This window comes from Homo sapiens, chromosome 1 (genome assembly GCF_000001405.40).
Source record: "Homo sapiens chromosome 1, GRCh38.p14 Primary Assembly".
Taxonomy (NCBI): domain Eukaryota; kingdom Metazoa; phylum Chordata; class Mammalia; order Primates; family Hominidae; genus Homo; species Homo sapiens.
The window spans coordinates 78,475,492-78,498,723 of record NC_000001.11 but is presented as its reverse complement, the minus strand read 5'-3'; the positions used below and the strand labels follow the sequence as shown (position 1 = coordinate 78,498,723).

General features: G+C 39.3%; 1 protein-coding gene across 5 annotated transcripts in view, besides 1 other annotated feature; it reads right to left on the bottom strand.

Annotated features, from left to right (window-relative positions):
• Positions 1-7,750, bottom strand: part of PTGFR (prostaglandin F receptor) — a 49,728-nt gene extending 41,978 nt beyond the window's left edge. For 2 of the 5 annotated variants that reach the window (NM_001039585.2, XM_017001873.1), the window contains exons 1-3: positions 7,488-7,750; positions 5,183-6,052; positions 780-850 (exon numbers count right to left, since the gene is read on the bottom strand). In NM_001039585.2, the coding sequence (NP_001034674.1) occupies positions 780-850; positions 5,183-5,980 (869 nt within the window). In that variant the 5' untranslated portion in view covers positions 5,981-6,052; positions 7,488-7,750. Of the gene's footprint in view, positions 1-775; positions 851-5,182; positions 6,053-6,629 lie in introns of those variants that run through there. The other 3 variants (XM_047426101.1, XM_047426085.1, NM_000959.4) reach the window with 3 other exon arrangements.
• Positions 6,752-7,284: an enhancer, noted in NCBI's record as "H3K4me1 hESC enhancer chr1:78957125-78957657 (GRCh37/hg19 assembly coordinates)". NCBI's record gives its function as "activates a minimal SCP1, AML or CMV promoter by ChIP-STARR-seq in primed H9 embryonic stem cells {active_cell/tissue: H9 hESC(primed)}" and the evidence as "EXISTENCE:reporter gene assay evidence [ECO:0000049][PMID:30033119]".

Sequence of the window (23,232 nt, the reverse complement as noted above, 5' to 3'; positions counted from 1 at the left end):
GTTTGTTTGTTTGTGTGTTTGTTTGTTTTTAGAGTCAGGGGATACATGTACAGGTTTGTTGCATGGGTATATTGCAGGATACTGAAGTTTAGGCTTCTAATATCACCCAAGCAGTGAACACAGTATCTATTAGCTATGCCACCCACTAGAATCCCTCTTATTTGATCCAATGGCAATGGGTTAATTTTTTAAATTTGGGAAATAATTTAACATTTATGTGTGTATTTGCATATATACATACACAAACAGGTATGTATGTACACATCTACACTTTTATGTATGTACCTAAATACATAAACAATATATATACACACTACATATATATATGTACACATTTATATTGTACATGTGCAATTTTCCACATTATCTCTTCACTTAAAATATATAAACATATATCCACTCACCATCCTTTGGGTATTGAGGCAAGTGCTCAAGACACATACATAGATTTCCATTACACCATTCTTAAATATGATGATGGGGGTCAGCCTTTCAAAGAAAATAATCTTCACTAATAGTCAAAATGTGCTATGATGTCATGTTACTCCATCATTTGTCATTAGCCCTTTAAGACTTGGTCATTATGAAGCCAATACCTTTAGTAATTTCAGTCAAAGTTCAATTAGCCACCCAGTTCTTTGATCTATATCTAACAAACACCTTAGTGACCAAACAATGTTTAACTATGTTGACTAGAAATATTAGCATAAGAGTAACCTTAGGAAAATCAAGCTCCAATTCTACATTTGCAAGAGAACACATTTCTTGGGTAAACTCACCTATGTAAGAAATCACTTTGCTCTTCATATACTTTATATTTCTCTTTCCCATTCAAAATTATTCTGTATCCCTGAAGAGAAGGTAAAACAAACATATGGCCTTCCAGTAAAAGACAGCTGAAGTTTAATAGCGTCCTAAGTCTACCGTTGGTGATTAGGGAACAGATTAAAATTACCATTTGGTTTCAGAGTCTGCTTGGCTGTTAACCTACAAAACTCAGAATCCATATACTGGTCAATCATTTCCAATCTTTTGACATTCATACTACTTAAGTTACAGTCAACCAGTCAACAAGTATTTATTGTTCTGCCAAATAGGTGAACTACGCATAGCACTAATAATTAATTCCTTTTAGGCTTGCATATTCTAGAAGGGGAGCATTAAAAAGAATCGTTACCCATATAAAAGTAGAAACAAAAGAATATTGAGAAAATGTTTCTCAAAAGTGCTGGTGAATCTCTTTTTTCTCCTTCACAATAGAGACATCAGGAGAATGTGTTCAATATTTATGTGTTAAGGAAAAGTGATTCATCTAGGAAGAACGCGAGACAATTTTATAATTGCTGTTTCACTTTCAAAGATGTTTAGAATTAACTTGTTGCTAAATGGAACTGTAAGATAATAAGCGTCAGTTGTAGTTTCCTGTATTTTTCAGTTAGCATTACAATTAAATGAATGTGAATGAATTAACTGTGTTTAAAACTACAAAACCCAGATATTGTAAAAATTTAAGTAATTATATTTTAAACAAATGTTATGTTTGTACTACATTTCTACATTTCAATTACTAGGAGGAGGAAAGCACATTTTCCCCTTTTGGAAAAATAAAACACATTAAATGTTTTAATTTAAAACATTTATTCTGCATGATCCTGTAATGGTGGACACATGTCATTCTATGTTTTCAAAACCCATAGAATGTACAACACAAAGAGATAGCCCTAATGTAAACTACAAACTTTAGTTAATAATAATATAGCAATGTCAGCTCATCGATTCTAACAAATATGCCACAACAAAGCAAGATATTAATAATAAAGCTGATGGGGTGGGGGAGGGGGAGGGAGTATTTGTAAATTCTCTCTACTTTCTATTCATTTTTCTATAGACCCAAAACTACTCAGAAAAGTAAAATAGAGTCTATTAACATGAGAGAGAATTCAAACATTATGATCATTTTACCTTTGTATTGATTAAAACTCAACAAATTAATAAAGTATCAGCTTTGACAAAAACTTAAATATAAATTTCAATTTATACATTTCAATGATTTTAGAAATTATGCCACTATTGACAAGTTTTGATGCAGTAGTTCCTGTCAAGCACAAACACCATCATCTCCACCTTACTCCTTTCCTCCTTTTAGTGCATGTACCTCTACCTTCGTTCCAGTTTGAGACTTGAAAATGACTGTGAACACTGGCCAAAGAGTGTGTGCAGATGTTCATTCAAATACAAATCCAACAATTCACAGTTAATCAGAGAGAAAAGGCACATGGTATGAAATAGGGCATTGACCTGGAAGCTGTCACTATTACAGCACAACTATGGGAATCTAAAAGCTTGGTTTCAGGGGTATTTTTAAAAATCAGAAGCTTTTAAAATACAAGGTGGGCAGGAAAATAATGGCTCAGTAATTAATATCTATTAAAATCCTCCTAGATATGTGAGAGAAAAAAAGAGAAAATATTCAACTGAAGTATTAGTACTGGATGTTATTTTGAGATTCTTAAGCCTGTATTTTTATAAGGTTGTTTATACCTGTCTGAGGACCCTAACTTAATCCCCAAGGCACTTGTGTCCAGACCACCAAAGTTCTGACAAAATCTTTCAGTCAGAAATTTTCATGAAGACTCAACTCTCCATAAAAGAAGCCAGGAATGCAAAGAATGCTTAAAACAACTCAAAATATCAGCCCATAAAGTAATACCTGTGGTGGATCTACTACCCATCTAACACAGAAATAATTTTCATGCTTAAAGTATTGATACGTTGGTGACACAGATATATCAATAATTCATAGTTAAAGAGAAAGTGGACCTCAGAAAATGTTCTGTAAAAGTGAAACTTTGTTTCCAATAGGAAATATGTTTAAAATAGGAATTAAATTGTAATATTTATTCCAAACCAAACCAAAAATCCAGGAATGGAAATTAGGGAAAAACATACATTCAAAATATCCACACCAAGAGTATGAAATTTTGCTTCCTTCCATAATCTTGCAGGAGTAAGTCTATGACTCCTATTCCTCAAAGTAGAAACCCAGTAACTCAACAGAATTTTTAAGATGCCTCAGAATAAACAAAAAACAAAATACAAGTGATTACCTCAGTTGTCCGGATTATGTCTCTCATTTATTGACACTTCACTATTTCACTGTTTTGAGGTATTCTCCAGAGACACAACCTTCATTGTAAAAGTTTATTTAAACATTTTTAGCCACTTCTTTTCTCACTTTCTTTGTATTTCTTTCACCAACCCCAAATTCATTTCAACTCACTCAGACTCACTTTTTAGTTTTAAAAGCTACTTTACTTCAAAGCTTAACTACAGAAAAATAAAAACCATTACACTCGGGAAATTTCTTTAGTCGAGTTACATACATTAACCTCCTCAAAAATAAACAATGAAGTGGCTCCAGTGTTGTTAGAAACGGTTTCTGTTATTCAATTCATACAACTATACTTTAATCACAGATCAGACTCTTACTGGGTTCACCCAAGGCCTCCTCAGTTGACAATTATCAGGTCTCCAAAGGTTGACTTGCCATTGATAGACCCACTCTCCCCTTGGGTGAGCTCTTATGACCTGGCCAACTCAGGAACAACACAAAAAATATTTGAATGACTTAACAATTCAAGAAGCCAAATTCAGGTTGTGAGGCAACAATATGAATAGAAATTTTTAAAATATTAGAGAAGTAGAACTCCCTTTGTAAAATAAACTCAACTCTATCATAGAATCTGTCTGCAGTAGCAGCTATCACAAACTTTTATGTGTATCAAAATCATCTGGATCGTTAATTAGAACTGCACTAGTGGGCCGGGCGTGGCGACTCACGCCTGTAATCCCAGCACTTTGGGAGGCCGAGGCGGAAGGATTACGAGGTCAGGAGTTTGAGACTAGCCTGGCCAACATGGTGAAAACCCGTCTCTACTAAAAATACAAAAATTAGCCGGGTTTGGTGCCACACGCCTGTAATCCCAGCTACTCAGGAGGCTGAGGCAAGAGAATTGCTTGAACCTGGGAGGCGGAGGTTGCAATAAGCCGAGATCGCACCACTGTACTCCAGCCTGGGTGACAGAGCGAGCCTCCGTCTCAAACAAACAAACAAACAAACAAAAAACCTGCACTAGCAACAATTCTTGGGCAATGAGCCTGTTTGGAGCCTAGGAAAACTGCATTAGTAACAAGCACCTTCATTCTACCAGGTAAGGTACAACCACTACCTTTGTCTTACTTCCACCCCACCTGGATTGCTATCTCTGGATGCCCTCCCACTTCCCCATTGTTACAGACGAGGGAAAAAAGAAAATCTTTGCTGTCACTTGCTCCCTACAGAAGGGTTTTTTTTGTTTTTGTTTTTGTTTTCTTTCATGGCATGTTGTCACTTCTTACATTATAAAGCAAAACATTAGAAGGAGTTAAGGTCATACTTATCTATCATAAATATGATTTTTGTCTTCTATCTGGAAAGTGATATGATTTATGTTTGTTTCTAACAGCTTCACTTTAGCTTTCATTTCCAAATTAAACTATCAGGCTATCACATACAGATGCTGGTTAAATTAAAATGTTAAATGAATGAAACAAAAAGGGAGGAATCTCTGGCCTTCCTGCCAAACATACCTCTCCCTGGACTAATGGCATTGTTCCTGAGTTAGTGAATTACTGATTTCTTCACTTGAACTATCCATGCAGTACACCTGAACTATCCACCTATCTCAGTTCAGCACCACCCTTTGCAGTTCTGGTCATTACATGCTTTGGAGAACCCAGTAGCTAATATGCCCTGTTTACAAGTTAAAAGTTCATGTGACTTTCTATCAAGACTTACTGCAATCTGTTCAAATGTTGTTTTATAGTTGGTCATTTTGTTCACATTTTAGAAATAATCATATTCAGTATGTTAAAAATATGTAACTTCTGTTAGAACTACACTGCTTTGCAGGAAGCTAACACTATGGTTAGAATTGTTTAGCAACACATTTCTTTCACTTCAGGGCTTGTGGGAAAGTAACCATATGTGTCATATGTCATGTAATTCTAAGCCAGAGCTGAGTGCTGAAATAAATTTTGAGTAGGGATCATTCTCAGCATTTAAAAGACTGAACTTCCAGATAACCTTGAATTGAACATGGATTAACCCAAGAAAGCAGAAGTCAAAACTTCAGGCTCTTACCAGAAATGGGCTCCAACAAATACAGGAGACACACATTATCGCCAGGAGCTGGATTACCATTTCCAAATGATGAGATCTGCCTTGTCTGTGCTGCTGACTTTTAAATTTAACTCTTAAAAGTGTAATTCCTGTGATTGCATTGCACAACAATGAAACACCAAGGGCTAAGAGCCCCAGAAAAGAAAAAAGTAGAAGATAAAATCTATCTTCCCAGTCTTTGATGTCTTCTGTGTTGTAGAAACACCAGGTCCTCGACGCCTGAATTTTATAGTCTCGATGTCCAAGGATGGGCAGCAAAGCTATGAAAACAGCAAACAAGCACACACCACTTAACATCATTTTCACATGTTTGGATGTAATTTTCGTAGAATGAAATATTGGTTTTGTGACTCCAATACACCGCTCAATGGCCATCACACTGCCTAGAAGAAGTGGGCACAGACCAGAAAACACCATGCAGATACCAAAAATACTGCAAAGGACATTTGATTGGTCAAAGCGGATCCATTCTTTATCAGAAGCATATACAAATACTGCTATGGCTCCATTGATGAGATGGCCAAAGAAATCAGTGATTACCAGGCCACTGGCCAAAAGCAGAAACGATGCCTTGGACTTCTGTCTAAATCTCTGATATGCCTTCATGAGAATGGCGATGGCAAGGCTGTTTGACAAGATTCCCACTGTCATGAAGATTACTGAAAAAAATACGGAAAGCCGGTTTTCCGTCTGGCAGGTTGTGTTTGAAAGAAGCGCAGCTGCAGGAGACACTAGCTGTTTGGAATTGTTCATGGACATTGTTGTGGAGATAAAAGCCAACCACTCAAGTCATCTCCCTCTCAAAACTGTGCAGGATTGCAGTCCAGACATCTGTAGGATAAAGGGAGAGGAATTATGAACACCGCATTACTGCTCATCTGACGTTTATGACTGACGTGCCCCAGCACCCGGTGGTGGGATGGGTTTTATCTGGCCTATCATAAGCAAGGTTGCATCATACTGAAAGCAGCTCATATCTGCCTGCGGTTCCACATTTCATTTTCAAGGTGAAGAAGCTGTTGAAATTGAGACCCCTTGGTTAACTTCTGTGGCCCCTCTGCAAATGAGCACCTCCTCCTCCTCCTGAATGTCCCCCTGACACGTCACTGACACCTTAAAATTTTCAAATTTTACAAAATCGCTACCAAGATTAGATTTAAACCCAATAAGATTTTTTAAATCCTAAGTCTATTAAAAAAGAGAGAGAGACCTTTTAAAGTGTCTTCTCTTTCCTCTGGTGGGCTTTGCCCCCAAACTGCAGATTATTCCTCAGTTAAACGACCTGCTTGTCAGGCAGACATAACTATCTCCAAACTTTGGAAGGGGACCAGCAAGTTCATTGATGTTAAATGCAGATTTTCTGAATATGTTTCTAAGCATAAATCAAATAACAGCAAACCACACACACGTTGAACCCATGAAAAGCAGAGTGGTGAGTCTCTGGGAAGGTTTTCTGGTCTAGCTGCCCCTGTGTAGAAATTCTGATTCGCGATGAGGAAGGGGGCGGGCCACGCTCACTGTGCACCTCGGCCAAGATCCTGTCCAGTTACAGCTTCAGAGTAGCAACATTCAAGGCGAAGTATTTGCTTGTCACTCTTTCCCTAGGGGGTTGAAGCCTGAGGCACAGACACTGGATACACAAGGCCACGGCCACTCTTCTCTGAGCTAATTCGATTGGCGTTTCCCGAGCAGCTAGCTTTCCCGGAGGCTGGGAATTCCGGAGCCAGCCTTTCCTGCGCCCAGCCCGAGTGGAACTGCCTAGGCTACCCCCAGGACGGTCGCCTTCTCCAGGTCTTACTCACAGTTCGACTTTCGCCCGTTACTATCCCCCCCGCCCTTCGGCCTGGCCTCGCAACATTCCCTCCAAACTAACGAACTCGCTGAAACTTTCTGCAATTGCTCAAACGCCAAAGGGCTGTTTTCTCCCTCATCCCGGGCACGGGGAGTGAGGACGTGCCCGGGTGAGGAACTCGCAGTGCCGCCCGCAGGGAACCCCGCAACGGCGAGAAGCGGAATCTGTGCCGATTTCCCTCTTCTGAGACCCTTTCTACCCAATCCCCCGCAGAGCAGCTCAGAATGGGGATGGGTTAGCTCGAGTACCCTTCTTTCTCTATGCGTCTCCCTAGCTTGGGGAATCTGGTCCAAACTCAGTGTCAGGCTCAGCCAGCAGAAGCTGTGGCTGGGTGTCTCAGGGGGTGAGTTGATTAAATCTGGGTCTAGATAAGCGAAGCCGATGCATTGGGATCAGCCTCTGGAGGGATGGTACCTTGTCATCCCAGGCCGCCAGCCGGGCTCTCTGAGGAGCAGAAGACGGAGCCGCTCGGTGTGCCATGGCGCCCCGCGCCGCCGCTGCCTCAAGTTCCACCGATCCCAGCGCGGAGATCCTGATCGGGCGCCGGCTGTGGTCCAGCCGCTCGTCCCCTCCGCGCACTCGTTCCCTTAGCGCGGAAACTGCGGGGCGCGCGCGGCTCCTGGGATCCCTCTGCACCTAGCTGCGCTGGCAGCCTGGGAGGGATGGGGCGCGCGAGTGACCTCCGCCTCTTCCTCTTCTCTCTCGCCTCCGCCCCCTTTTCCATGGGCACAGAGCAGTACTGGGAGAGAAGAGGGCACCGTGCTCGGATGCATCAGAGCTGCACTTAGCCGCTGGACCAGCTAAAGAAAGTTTGGTTTTAAACTCATTTTTATCCCCAAGCCATCTCTGGGGATGCAAGACAGCAGTCTGGAGAGCCGAGGAAAGCCTAAGATGGTGTGTTAGACTGTCGGATGGTAGCTTGCAGACAATTCATTCCAAGTCCAGCTCGAAACGCATAAAGAAACCAGGTAGAAAGAGGTTGTGTGCTTGAGGGAGAATTTTGTGGCAAATATCTCCAGGGAATTAAAAACAGGTATTCAAGCCCAGTATTGTAAATGAAAACACTCGCAGCCTCAGGGTTCACTGTCACACAGAGGACTGGGACTGTTTCCAGCTTTCTAAGGAATATGAAAAGGAAAAGGGATGAGATGACTTCTTGAAGTACACCTGCAGATAAGGGATTAGTAATATTTCAGTGATTTTAGAAGTCCACTGGAGAGAGAATTTCTAGTGATATGTATACCCCAAGAGATATGCGTCTAATAAATTTCGTGGAGATAAATTTATGATGAAGTAATCTATTTTTCATTAGGAATTACGATTTGAGCCATTTTATTCTGTAATTGCTTTTATCTAATATTGCTTCGACACACACCCATTAGCTGTGTCTCATTTTTGTAGCTAAACACTTATGTGAATCTATTATTGACTTTTGCTCTTTTTATTGTAGTAAAATGTTGCCACTACCTATGTGAAAAATCAGTACCACATGGAAACGAACCCTGTTTCTCCGTTCTAAAACCAGAAGGGACCTCTAAATTCCTGGAAATTGGAAGGGATCAAAAAATGAAAAAGCGGGATAAAATAAATTAGCCATTAACTGTAGAAAGGAATGATTGCAGTTTTCCCTTGTGGTAGATATTGAGATTTTTTTAAATGATATGATCATAACTGGTAAACTAAACTGTTACTTAATTATGGTGAGGGAATTAAACATTTTGGTTAGATAACCTGGTTACTAGAGAAATATTATACATGAATGGCCAGTATCCAAAAGGCAATTATGTGATAAGCTATACTGAAAATATGAATGACACAGAGTACTATTCTTTCCTTTATTTTTTAAAATATGTGAGTGCATATATAATTTTTTTCTTTTTTAAAAAACATGAAATTTTTGCACCTATTGACCTGTCCTCTAAGTTCCCTCCCCCTGCCCCCCACCCCCTAACAGGCCCTGGTGCATGTTGTTCCTCTCCCTGTGTCCATGTGTTCTCATTGCTGAACTCCCATTTATAAGTGAAAACATGCAGTGTTTGGTTTTCTGTTCCTGTGCTAGTTTGCTGAGGATGATAGCATCCAGGTTCATCCATGTCCCTGCAAAGGACATGATCTCATTCCTTTTTATGGCTGTGTAGTATTCCGTGGTGTATATGTACCACATTTTCTTTATCCAGTCTGTTATTGATGGGCATTTGGGTTGGTTCTATGACTTTGCTATTGTAAATAGTGCTTCAGTAAACACATGTGTGCATGTGTCTTCATAATAGAATGATTTGTATTCCTTTGGGTATATACCCAGTAATGGGATTGCTGGATCAAATGATATTTCTGGTTCTAGATCCTTGAGGAATCACCATGCTGTCTTCCATATTGGTTGAACTAATTTACATTCCTACCAACAGTGTAAAAGCATTCCTATTTCTCCATAGCCTCGCCAGCATCTATTGTTTCTTGACTTTTTTTTTCTTTGAAAGTCATTAATATTTTATTTTAACTTTTTTTAAATTATTATACTTTAAGTTCTGAGATACATGTGCATAGGTATACATGTGCCATGGTGGTCAACCCATCATCTACATTAGGTATTTCTCCCATTCTCTAGGTTGCCTGTTCACTCCGATGATAGTTTCTTTTGCTGTACAGAAGTTCTTTAGTTTAATTAGATCCCATGTGTCAATTTTGGCCTTTGTTGTCATTTTTTTGTGTGTTTTTGTCGTCATTGTTTTTTGTGTTTTTGTCATAAAGTCTATGCCCATGCCTATGTCCTGAATGGTATTACCTATGTTTTTTTCTAGAGTTTTTATTATTTTAGGTTTTACATTTAAGTCTTTAATCCATCTTGAGTTAATTTTTGTATAAGGTATAAGGAATGGGGTCCAGTTTCAGTTTTTTGCATATGGCTAGCCAGTTTTCCCAACATCATTTATTAAATAGGACATCCTTTCTCCATTGCTTGTTTTTGTCAGTTTTGTTGAAGATCAGATGGTTGTAGATGTGTGATGTTATTTCTGAGGCCTCTGTTCTGTGCCATTGATCTATATGTCTGTTTTGATACCAATACCATGCTGTTTTGGTTACTGTAGCCTTGTAGCATAGTTTGAAGTCAGGTAGCATGATGCCTCCAGCTTTGTTCTTTTTGCTTAGAATTGTCTTGGCTATATGGGGTCTTCTTTGATTTCATATGAAATTTGAAGTAGTTTTTTCTAATTCTGTGAAGAATGTCAGTGGTAGTTTGATGGGAATAGCACTGAATCTATAAATTATTTTGGGCAGTATGACCATTTTCATGATATTGATTCTTCCTATCCGTGAGCATGGAATGTTTTTCCATTTGTTTGTGCCCTCTCTTATTTATTTGAGCAGTGGTTTATACTTCTCTTTGAAGAGATCCTTCACATCCCTTGTTAGCTCTATTCCTAGGTATTTTATTCTTCCCATTCATGATTCGGCTCTCTGCTTTGCTATTGTTGGTGTAAAAAAAAAGCTTCTGATTTTGCATATTGATTTTGTATCCTGAGACTTTACTGAAGTTTCTTGTCTGCTTAAGAAGCTTTTGGGCTGAGACAGTGGCATTTTCTAAATATAAAATCATGTCCTCAGCAAACAGGGACAATGTGACTTCCCTCTTCCTATATGAATACCCTTTATTTCTTTCTCTTGCCAAATTGCTCTGGCAAGAACTTCCAATACTATGTGGAATACGAGTGATGAGAGAGGGCATCCTTGTCTTGTGCTGGTTTTCAAAGGGAATGCTTCTAGCTTTTGCCTATTCAATATGATATTGGCTGTAGGTTTGCCATAAACAGCTCTTATTATTTTGAGATATGTTCCATCAATACCTAGTTAATTGAGAGTTTTTAACATCAAGGGATGTTGAATTTTATCAAAGACCTTTTTTGCATCTATTGAGATAATCATGTGGTTTTTGTCTTTGGTTCTGTTTATGTGATGGATTATGTTTATTGATTTGCATATGTTGAACCAGCCTTGCATCCCAGGGATGAGACCAGCTTGAACATGGTAGATTAGTTTTTTGATGTGCAGCTGGATTCAGTTTGCCAGTATTTCATTGGGGGTTTTTGTATTAATGTTTATCAGGGATATTGGCCTGAAGTTTTCTTTTTTTGTTGTGTATCTGCCCAGTTTTGGTATCAAGATGATGCTGGCTTCATAAAATGAGTTAGGGAGGAGTCTCTCCCTTTCAATTATTTGGAATAGTTTCAAAAGGAATGGTACCAGCTCTTCTTTGTACCTCTGGTAGAATTCGGCTATGAATCCATCTGGTCATGGGCTTTTTTTTGCTTGGTAGGCTCTCTTCCTATTTGAATACCCTTTATTTTATTTATTATATAGGCTCAATTTCAGAGCTCATTATTGGTCTATTGAGGGATTTAATTTCTTCATGGTTTAGTCTTGGGAGGGTGTATGTATCCAGGAACTTACCCATTTCTTCTAGATTTTCTATTTTATTTGCATAGAGGTGTTTATAGTATTCTCTGATGATAGTTTCTATTTCTGTGGGGTCAGTGGTGATATTCCCTTTATCATTTTTATAGTGTCTATTTGATTATTCTCTTTTTTCTTCTTTATTAGTCTAGCTAGTGGTCTATGTATTTTGTTAATTTAAAAAAAACAGCTCCAGGATTCATTGGTTTTTTGGAGCTTTTTTATCTCCATCTCCTTCAATTCTGCTCTGATCTTAGTTGTTTCTTGTCTTCTGCTAGCTTTTGAATTAGTTTGCTCTTGCCTCTCTAGCTTTTTTAAATTGTGATGTTAGGGTATTGATTTGAGATCTTTCTAGCTTTCTGATGTGGGCATTTAGTCCTATAAATTTCCCTCTTAACACTGCTTTAGCTGTGTCCCAGAAATTCTGGTAGGTTTTCTCTTTATTTTAATTAGTTTCAAAGAACTTCTTGATTTCTGCCTTAATTTCATTATTTACCCAGGAGTTATTCAGGAGCAGATTGTTCCATTTCCATGTAATTGTGTGGTTTTGAGCGAGTCTCTTAATCCTGAGTTCTAATTTGATTGCACTGTAGTCTGAGAGACTGTTTGTTATGATTTCAGTTCTTTTGCATTTGCTGAGGAGTGTTTTACTACCAATTTTGTGGTTGAATTTAGAATAAGTGCCATGTGGCACTGAGAAGAATGTATATTCTGTGGATTTGGAGTGGAGAGTTCTGTAGATGTCTATTAGGTCCACTTCGTTCAGAGCTGAGTTCAACGTGGGATGTTAAAGTCTCCCACTATTATTGCATCAGAGTCTATGTCTTTGTAGGTCTCTAAGAACTTGTTTTATGAATCTGGGTATTCTTGTATTGAGTGCATATGTATTTAGAATAGTTAGTTCTTCTTGTTGCATTGTTCCCTTTACTTTTATATAATGCCCTTCTTTCTTTTTTGATCTTTGTTGACTTAAAGTCTGTTTTGTCAGAGACTAGAATTGCAACCTCTGCTTTTTTTGACTTTCCATTTGCTTGACAAATTTTCCTCCATCCCTTTATTTTGAGCCTATGTGTGTCTTTGCACATGAGATGGGTCTCCTGAATACAGCACACTGATGGGTCTTGACTCTTTATCCAATTTGCCAGTCTGTGTCTTCTAATTGGGGCATTTAGCCCATTTACATTTAAGGTTAGTGTTATTATTGTGAATTTGATCATGTCATCCTGATGCTAGCTGGTTATTTTCCACACTAGATGAGGCAGTTTCTTCATAGTGCCATTAGGCTTTATATTTTGCTGTGTTTTGCAGTGGCTGGTACTTGATTTTCCTTTCCACGTTTAGTGCTTCCTTCAGGAGCTCTTGCAGTGCAGGCCTGCCAGTAATGAAATCCATCAGCATTTGCTTTTCTGAAAAGGATTTTATTTCTCCTTCACTTATGAAGCTTAGTTTGGCTGAATGTGAAATTCTGGGTTGAAAATTCTTTTCTTTAAGACTGTTGAATATTGGCCCCCAATCTCTTCTGGCTTGTAGAGTTTCTGCTGAAAGGTCTGCTGTTAGTCTGATGGGCTTCCCTTTATAAGTGACCTGGCCTTTCTCTCTAGTTGCCCTTTACATTTTTTCCTTCATTTCAATGTTGGAGAATCTGATGACTATGTGTCTTGGGATTGATGTGCTCATGGAGTATCTTAGTGATATTCTCTGCATCTCCTGAATTTGCATGTTGGCCCGTCTTCCTAGGTTGGGGGAGTTCTCCTGGATAATATCCTGATATGTGTTTTCCAGCTTGTTTCCATTCTTCCCATCTCCTTCAGGTATGCCAGTCAATCGTAGGTTCGGTCTTTATACAATGTCCCATATTTTTTAGAGGATTTGTTCTTTCCTTTTCATTCTTTTTTCTCTAATATTGTCTGGATGCCTTATTTCAGCAAGGTGGTCTTCAGACTTTGGTATCCTTTCTTCCGCTTGTTCGATTTGGCTATTGATACTTGTGTATGCTTCACAAAGTTCTCGTGCTGTGTTTTTCAGCCCCATCAGGTTATGTTCCACTCTAAACTGGTTATTCTAGTCAGCAACTCCTCTAACCTTTTATCAAGGTTCTTAGCTTCTTTGTATTGGGTTAGAGCAAGCTCCGTTAGCTCAGCATAGTTTTTTTTAATTACCCATCTTCTGAAGCCTTCTTCTGTCAATTCGTCCATCTCATCCTCTGTCCAGTTTTGTGCCCTTGCTGGAGAGACATTGTGAACATTTGGAGAAGAGGCACTCTGGCCTTTTGGGTTTTCAGTGTTTTTTCATTGATTCTTTCTCATCTTCGTGAGTTTGTCTAGTTTCAATCTTTGAGGCTGCTGACCCTGGGATGGGGTTTTTGTGAAGACTTTTTGTTGTTGTTGATGCTGTTGTTGCTGTTTGTTTGTTTTTCTTTCAATGGTCAGGTCCCTCTTCTATAGGGCTGCTGTTGTTTGCTGGGGGTTCACTTCAAGCCCTATTCATCTGGTTCACTCCCGTGCTTGGAGATGTCACTCAAGGAGGCTGGAGAACAGCAAAGATGGGTGCCTGCTCCTTCTTCTGGGATCTCTGACCTTGAGAGGCACCAACCTGATGCCAGCAGGATCGCTCCTGTATAGGGTTTCTGACAACCCCTGTTGGAGGGTCTCACCCAGTTGGGTGGCACGGGGAACAAGACCCATTTAACAAAGCACTTTGACTGTCCCTTGGTGGAGGGGCTGTACTTAACTAGGGGGAAACCCACTCATCTGGGCTGCCTGGATTCCTCAGAACTACCAGGAGGAAAGGGTAATTCTGCTGGTCCACAGACTGCGGTCACCCCTTCCCCTAGGGGCTCAGGCCAAGGGAGATCGGGGTTCTATCCCCGAGCCTCTGGTTGGAATTTTTGGAGTTCCTGCAGGAAGCCCCACCCAGTAAGGAAGGATGAGTCAGGGTCAGGCCTGAGGAGGTGCTCTGGCTGCAGTCTGTCACAGCTGGTGTGTAAGGCTGTGGAGACAACTTTTGGGACGAAGCCATCCAGCCTCACTGGCTCCAGCAGGGGAAAAGTGTGGTCTGGAGCTATAGAGATGGATGCTGCCCTTCCCCCACCCAGGGAGCTTAGCGTGTTAGGCAGTTGTGAGTCCCAGCGCTGGGTGCTGCCCCTCTCCCAAGGAGCTCAAATGGCTTAAACAGCAGGCAGCTGCAGCTCTGGTGCTGGTTGCCCCTCCCCCCAGGAGCTTGGCCGGCCTAAGCGGATTCCAGCTGAGAGGCTGTTGAGAATCTGCATGGCTCCGGGATTGGGGCCCTAGACCCTGGTGGCATTGGCTCGCAAGTGGGATCTTCCAGTCCATGGTTGCACAGTTCCATGGAAAAAGCACAGTTTCCCCAGCTGGGTAGCACAGTCACTAACCACCTCCCTTGGCTGGGGAGGGCAATCTCCCCTGCCCCATGTGGCTCTCAGGTGGGCTGCCGCACCACACTGCTCTTCCTCACTCTCCATGGATCATGCCAGCCACCTAGTCAGTTCTGATGAGAGAACCTGGATACCTTGGTTGCTGGTGAAAGATTCACATGCTTATTATGGTTCTTTTCAGTGGGAGCCTCCAATCGCCACTGTTTCTAGTGGGCCATCTTGGCCCCACCTCCTATTCTTTCCTTTAATGATTAATAGCACTTAATGACATGACATTGCAATTGTTGGTTTACTTATGTCTCCCACTGAAATGAATTACTGCAGAAGTTTTGTTCATCTCTTCATTCTCACCTAGGACAATGCCTGGCCACTCATCAAATGTTGCTTAAGTTAATAAATGCTATAGTCAGTATTTCCAGTATTAGAGTTCAGGATTTTGAAAATTTTCAGGCTCTCACTGGAGCATCTCACTAACATCAGCTGCTCTAGCTACTGGGTGTTTAAAACAAGAAAAAAATTCACATAAATACAATGTCAAATTGTAACATTCATTATGTAATATATTCAAAACAATATTAATTTCTTTTTCAAAGTACTAGATAAATCCGATTTCAAAACAATATCTACTTTGTATGTATTCTTGGTGTTCCTTTTTTAGAACCCATTCCTTAATCAAGACACATTTCACCTGAGCATTAATAAAAGAGTCTACAGCACCTCCATCTCTTCTCTGCATGTTACTAGTCTAAAGGAAGAATAACTAACTACTTTCAAAAGAAAACAAAAAACTCACATACACAGACAAACATGTGTGTCTGGTCTTATGGGCCCCAAATCTGATCCCTATTCAAAGTACCCAAAGACAACCCTTGAGTGCTTATATAAAAAAGAAAACCTGGGGAAACCACAGATGAAAGGAACTAACAGACCAAAATGTTGTGGAGAGTGGGAGATGCCTGATAAACCCTTCTGAAAAGTAGTGCAGCTTGTATAGTTTCAAAGAAGTGGACACTAATAGAACCACTCATTCATACATTCTTCAGTAAATTCATTGAGCATCTACTTTGCACCGCACTCCGTTTCTAGGAGGCAGAAACACAGCTGTATGAATAAGGCATCTTAGCCTCTGCTCTGGTGTGGCATCTAGGCTAGGAGAAAGCACTTACTTTTGTAGCATGCATGCTGGAAATCTTGATAGGATTTTAGATGTCCTTTTTGTGTTAAATAGAGGCAGAGCTGATGTCAGCCTGTCTACAAGAAGATAACATGCCATGACAGGTGTGTGCTTGCCAGTCACCTTCATTCAGGGTTACAGGCAAGACACTTCTCTCAGAAGATGGGCACACTGTAATTACAATCAGAGAAACAGGGACTCTGTGTCACTGAGGTTGAGACAAAAGTTCCATAAAAATCAAGAGGAGTTCTGGAAGTTGATTTCATAGTTTTGATAAAATTGCCTAGAAAAGCTTTATTGGAATTTGCCATCAAGATTAATCGTGGAGGCTGGGCACAGTGGCTCATGCCTATAATCTCAGTATTTTGGGAGGCCAAGGTGGGCATATGGCTTCAACGTAGGAGTTACAGACCAGCCTGGGCAACATGGTGAAACCCCATCTCTATAAAAAAATATACAAAAATTATCCAGGTTTATTGGTATATGCCTATAGTCCCAGCTACTTGGGAGGCTGAGATGGGAGGATTACTTGAGCCTGGAAGGCCAAGGCTGCAGTGAGCTGTGATTGTGCCACTGCACTCCACCCTGGGCAACACAGTGAGACCTTGTCAAAAAAAAAAACAGATTAATAGTGAATACATGCCACTGTTTCATAGTGATAAAAATAATAACTTTGTCTTTTCATTTTTATTATGTAACTACTTGAAATATAAAAAATAATATATGTACACATTTGTTAGTTATAAATTATAAAATAAACATTATGAACCTGCCACTTTATTTAAGAACTGTATTCATTTTTCTAAGACTGCTGTAACAAAGTACTATAAACTAGGTAGCTTAAACAACAAAAACGTATTGTTTTAGAGTCTGGAGGCTAGAAGTCCAAAATCAAGGTGTTGACAGGATTGGCTCTTTCTGAGAACTGTGAGAGAAAATCTATTCCATGCCTTTGCCTAGCTTCTGGTGATTTTCTGGCGATCTTTTACATTCTTAGACTTGCAGAGGAATATGATTGTAATTTCTGCCTTTATTTTCACATACCCTTCTCCCTGTGTTTTTGTCTTCATGTAGCCGTCTTCTCATAAAAACCTCAGTCATGTTAGATTAGGGGTCTACCCTACTCCAATATGACATGATCTTAACTAATTTTATCTGAGCTACCCTATTTTCAAATAAGGTCACATTCTGAGATTCAAGGTGTTAGGAGTTCAACAAATCTTTTTTGGAATGGACACAATTCAATCCATAGCAAGGACTATATTAGAACATTACCAGTATTACATCTGCCTATATGCCTCTCCCTCCATTTCATTTCTCTATATCTTTCCCCCAGATAACCACTATCCTGAATTGTGTCATAGTTCTCTTGAATTTTTATATTGTTTTGTTATACAGATATGCAGATGAGCCAATATATTAATTATTTTGGATTGTAAATTTTCTGCAACTTGCTTTTTTATGCAAGATTTTTTAAAGCATGTATATTGATATTTGCAGCAGTGGTTTACTCATTTACAAAGATCTGTAATATCCCAATGTTAGGACATTCAAATTTTAAGATAGTATTCTGTTAATAGCTATGAAGTTATTTTCCCAGGTTTTGTTCTTATGAAATATTATACTATGAATGGTCTTGCACCCAACACCTTGTGGAAGAGTTTCTTTTTTTTTTAATTTCATTATTATTATACTTTAAGTTTTAGGGTACATGTGCACAATGTGCAGGTTTGTTACATATGTATACATGTGCCATGTTGGTGTACTGCACCCATTAACTCGTCATTTAGCATTAGGTATATCTCCTAATGCTATCCCTCCCCCCTCCCCCCACCACACAACAGGCCCCAGCGTGTGATGTTCTCCTTCCTGTGTCCATGTGTTCTCACTGTTCAATTCCTACCTATGAGTGAGAACATGCAGTGTTTGGTTTTTTGTCCTTGCGATAGTTTGCTGAGAATGATGGTTTCCAGCTTCATCCATGTCCCTACAAAGGACATGAACTCTTCATTTTTTATGGCTGCATAGTATTCCATGGTGTATATGTGCCACATTTTCTTAATCCAGTCTATCATTGTTGGACATTTGGGTTGGTTCCCAGTCTTTGCTATTGTGAATAGTGCCGCAATAAACATACGTGTGTATGTGTCTTTATAGCAGCATGTTTTATAATCCTTTGAGTATATACCCAGTAATGGGATAGCTGGGTCAAATGGCATTTCTAGTTCTAGATCCCTGAGGAATCCCCACACTGACTTCCACAATGGTTGAACTAGTTTACAGTCCCACCAACAGTGTAAAAGTGTTCCTATTTCTCCACATCCTCTCCAGCACCTGTTGTTTCCTGACTTTTTAATGATCGCCATTCTAACTGGTGTGAGATGGTATCTCATTGTGGTTTTGATTTGCATTTCTCTGAGGGCCAGTGATGATGAGCATTTTTTCATGTGTTTTTTGGCTGCATAAATGTCTTCTTTTCAGAAGTGTCTGTTCATATCCTTTGCCAAATTTTGATGGGGTTGTTTGGTTTTTTCTTGTAAATTTGTTTGAGTTCATTGTAGATTCTGGATATTAGCCCTTTGTCAGATGAGTAGGTTGCAAAAATGTTCTCCCATTCTGTAGGTTGCCTGTTCACTCTGATGGTAGTTTCTTTTGCTGTGCAGAAGCTCTTTAGTTTAATGAGATCCCATTTGTCAATTTTGTCTTTTGTTGCCATTGCTTTTGGTGTTTTAGACATGAAGTCCTTGCCCATGCCTATGTCCGGAATGGTACTGCCTAGGGTTTTTATGGTTTTAGGTCTAACGTTTAAGTCTTTAATCCATCTTGAATTAATTTTTGTATAAGGTGTAAGAAAGGGATCCAGTTTCAGCTTTCTACACATGGCTAGCCAGTTTTCCCAGCACCATTTATTAAATAGGGAATCCTTTCCCCATTGCTGGTTTTTGTCAGGTTCGTCAAAGATCAGATGGTTGTAGATATGTGGCATTATTTCTGAGGGCTCCGTTCTGTTCCATTGGTCTGTATCTCTGTTTTGGTACCAGTACCATGCTGTTTTGGTTACAGTAGCCTTGCTATCTATGACAAACCCACAGCCAATATCATACTGAATGGACAAAAACTGGAAGCATTCCCTTTGAAAACTGGCACAAGACAGGGATGCCCTCTCTCACCACTCCTATTCAACATAGTGTTGGAATTTCTGGCCAGGGCAATCAGGCAGGAGAAGGAAATAAAGGGTATTCAATTAGGAAAAGAGGAAGTCAAATTTTCCCTGTTTGCAAATGACAGGATTGTATATCTAGAAAACCCCATCGTCTCAGCCCAAAATCTCCTTAAGCTGATAAGCAACTTCAGCAAAGGCTCAGGATACAAAATCAATGTGCATAAATCGCAAGCATTCTTATACACCAGTAACAGACAAACAGAGGGCCAAATCATGAGTGAACTCCCATTCACAATTGCTTCAAAGAGAATAAAATACCTACGAATCCAACTTACAAGGGATGTGAAGGACCTCTTCATGGAGAACTACAAACCACAGCTCAGTGAAATAAAAGAGGATACAAACAAATGGAGGAACATTACATGCTCATGGGTAGGAAGAGTCAATATCGTGAAAATGGCCATACTGCCCAAGGTAATTTATAGATTCAAGGCCATCCCCATCAAGCTACCAATGACTTTCTTCACAGAATTGGAAAACACTACTTTAAAATTCATAGGGAACCAAAAAAAAGCCCACATTGCCAAGTCAATCTTAAGCCAAAAGAACAAAGCTGGAGGCATCATGCTACCTGACTTCAAGCTATACTACAAGAAGAGTTTCTTTAGAATATAGACTTAGAGTGAAATTACTGAGTCATAGAGTTCAACTTTACAAGATAATGTTAAGCTGTTGTATTAATTCACATTCCCTCAAGCTGTGTATATGAGCTCCCCTTCATTCACATTCATGACAATGCTTGAAATTGTCTAGCTTTTTAATTTTTACCAACCAGATGATTATAAAATATCACATAGTAGGCATAAATTACATTTCTCTGTCCATTCCTGTTTCTTCTTCTATGAAATGTCTGTTTTCTTTTGTCCAATTTTTATTGAGTTGTCTTCTTATTGATTCCTTACATGTTCTGGATACTAATCCATTATAAATTATGTATTTCAAACATATTTATCCAAATTACAGCTTGCTTTTTCATTTTCTTAATGCTCTCTTTTTTTACGGTCCTCAATTTTAAAGTAATCACATTTAAATATTTTAAACCCCATCTTTCATGTTACATTTCAGCATTTTTGTGTTGCATTTTAAAAGTCCCTCCAGATACTAGATTATAAGTATATTCTAGTATATATTTTCTAAATATCTTACCATTTCTGTCATTCACATTTAAATCTTGAGTCCTTAAGATAATGATTTTTAATATGATGTGAAGTAAGAACCTAGATTTTTTTCTCCATATGATAACCAATTTTTGTGGTCCCATTATTAAAGAATTCTTCTGTTATGAATTGATTTTTTTCCCCCAAAATTTATATGTTGAAGTGCTAATGCTCAGTATCTCAGAATATAACTTTATTTGGACATGGGGTATTTAAAGAGATAATCAAGTTAAAATGAGGTCTCTACAGTGGGCCCTAAAATAATAGGACTAATGTCTTTCTAAGAAGGGGAAATTTAGAGACAGATACCCATACAGGAGAACACAGTGCAAACATGAAGGTAGCCACCTACAAGTCAAAGTAAGGAGTAACAGATCCTTCACTCATGGCCCTCAGAAAGAACCAAACTTATACCACCTTAATTTCAGACTTCTAGCCTCCAGACTGTGAGACAATGAATTCCTGTTGTTTAATCCACCCAATTTGTGGTACTTTGTTATGGCAGCCTTATACACCCTGCCTTCTCCACTAATCTGGAATATGCATCTTTCATATATCAATTTTCCCTATATGCATAGGAAAACTATCATTTTTGACTGCCCACCATATAGTAGAAATTAAAATAGGTGCCTTAAGCATATTATAGTATTTAATTCTCTAAACAAATGTATGAAGCCCAAGTGGACATCATCTCTCACCTGAAATAGAACAATCTCCTCCTAGTTGTCTGCCATCTTGTTTGACTCCAATCCATTGTTCTCATGCAATCCTCTATTGAGTAGAGTCTCTAAAGCAGGCTGACCAAGCTCACTCACATTTAAACCCTTCCACTTACATCCAGTTCTGTAACCTTAGGAAATTAAGTTCTATATGCATTGGTTTGCTCATTTTCATGATGTAAAAATAATACTTCCTATCTCACAGACTTGTTATGAGAATTAAATTAGCTAAGTACTCTGAAGAGTACTTGGAGCTCCACAGAGGTAGATGCTATTATATCTTTATAAAATGCAAGTATTATTATGTTGGTTCCCAACTTAGAACCCTGAAATGTCTTCCCATTTCTCATCATTTCACCCCAAGCAGATTCTTTGGTGCCTCAGTTCATAAAAGGGTAATACATATTTTAAATATTAATTGGGTTTAGGGAAGCTTTTAAACAAACCTTAAATAAAATATTATAGAAAATTAATAGACACTAATGTGACTGTGAATCTTCTGGAAGGAAGAGAATGTTCAGTGGGTCCCAGTGGAGTCTGGTCTCATCAGAAAGTACTATTCAGGAAGCTCTATTGTCATGGTTAGAATAAACTGAATTCTTTAAAGTGGCATTCGGGGCCCTTCCTAATCTATCCAGCTGCTTCATCCTCGGCACTTAACTCTCTTTCATCACTCCTAGAACTATCAGAGGTAAATGCCTCAGCAACACTGACATTTTCTGCTCCTCAATCTCACCTCTCGGCCTTCATGCACTCAGTTTCCTGTCTTTAACAATCACACACTGCCTGACTCTTCCTCAGCCTTCAGCACCCCACAAGTTTGTGTGCTTTCTGTACCCCGCACTAACTGCAAGCCTGTAATCGTCACTGTTTCCAGCACCTTCACATACTATGGTAGGTGCTCAGGAAAGAATGCATGAATGAATAAGTGAACAAATGAAGTAGGTATGTCACAGATTTGGAAATCCTAGCACAAAGAAGTAACTTATACTGCCTCTGGGTTTAACAAAATATAATAAAGTGTTGTCCTTTATGCACAAGGTTGTTGCTGCTCACTCTACTGCCAGAAGGACAGATGATTCTATTGTTTTTCATTCAGTGCAGAAGGTTTTGCAATAGCGCATCAACATTCTTTCACAATATCCCTGACCAACAGTGGCACTTTTTGGTTAACTCTTCATGACAAGGACAAAATAGAAATTTTAGGAGGTAGAAAGAAAGGAAAGGTTAGGAGGAAGTTGACCAGAAAGATAATAATTATTGGCTTCTTACCCTGTTCCTGGCACTGTGAGAGGCTCTTGTAATGCACACATTAATGCTATCAGGTGGTTATATTCTCATTATACAGAAGAGAGATCAGGAAACTGCAGCTCAGAGAGCGTAACTTATTTGCCCAAGATTATACAGCTATGGTGAAAGTGAGATACAGCCCAAACCATGAAGTAATCAGCTCTTTCTGCTTCATTCAGGGAATCAGCAGACAGTACAGACCCTCTTAAACTTCCTATTTCCACATCTCTCATTCAGCCGGGACCCTGTTCCTGACCACTCCCTCCAGAACCCTGGATGCCGAACACTCTTCACTATAAATTCTGCAAATTTGCTGGGCTCTTAAAGTGAGTGAGACATTGTGCTAAGGATATTGATGATACGGAAATGTTGTAGCCCCAGTTTGTGCCCTCAAAGAAACTTAAAATCTTGAGTGACCTGATAGTTCTTGATAACATTTCCTGCTTTTTACTTTACTTTTATTTTATCTTCATCATTTTCCAGACACCCATTTGCTCTTTTTTTATTTATTTTTTTATTGTTATACTTTAAGTTCTGGGGTACATGTGCAGAAGGTGAGGTTTTGTTACATAGGTATACATGTACCATGGTGGTTTACTGCACCCATCAACCTGTTACCTACATTAGGTATTTCTCCTAATGCTATCCCTCCCCTAGGCCCCCAGCCCTCGACAGGCCCCAGTGTGTGATGTTGCCCTGCCTGTGTCCATGTTTGCTCTTTTAGAACTTTATCTTCTGACTTATCTCACTTCA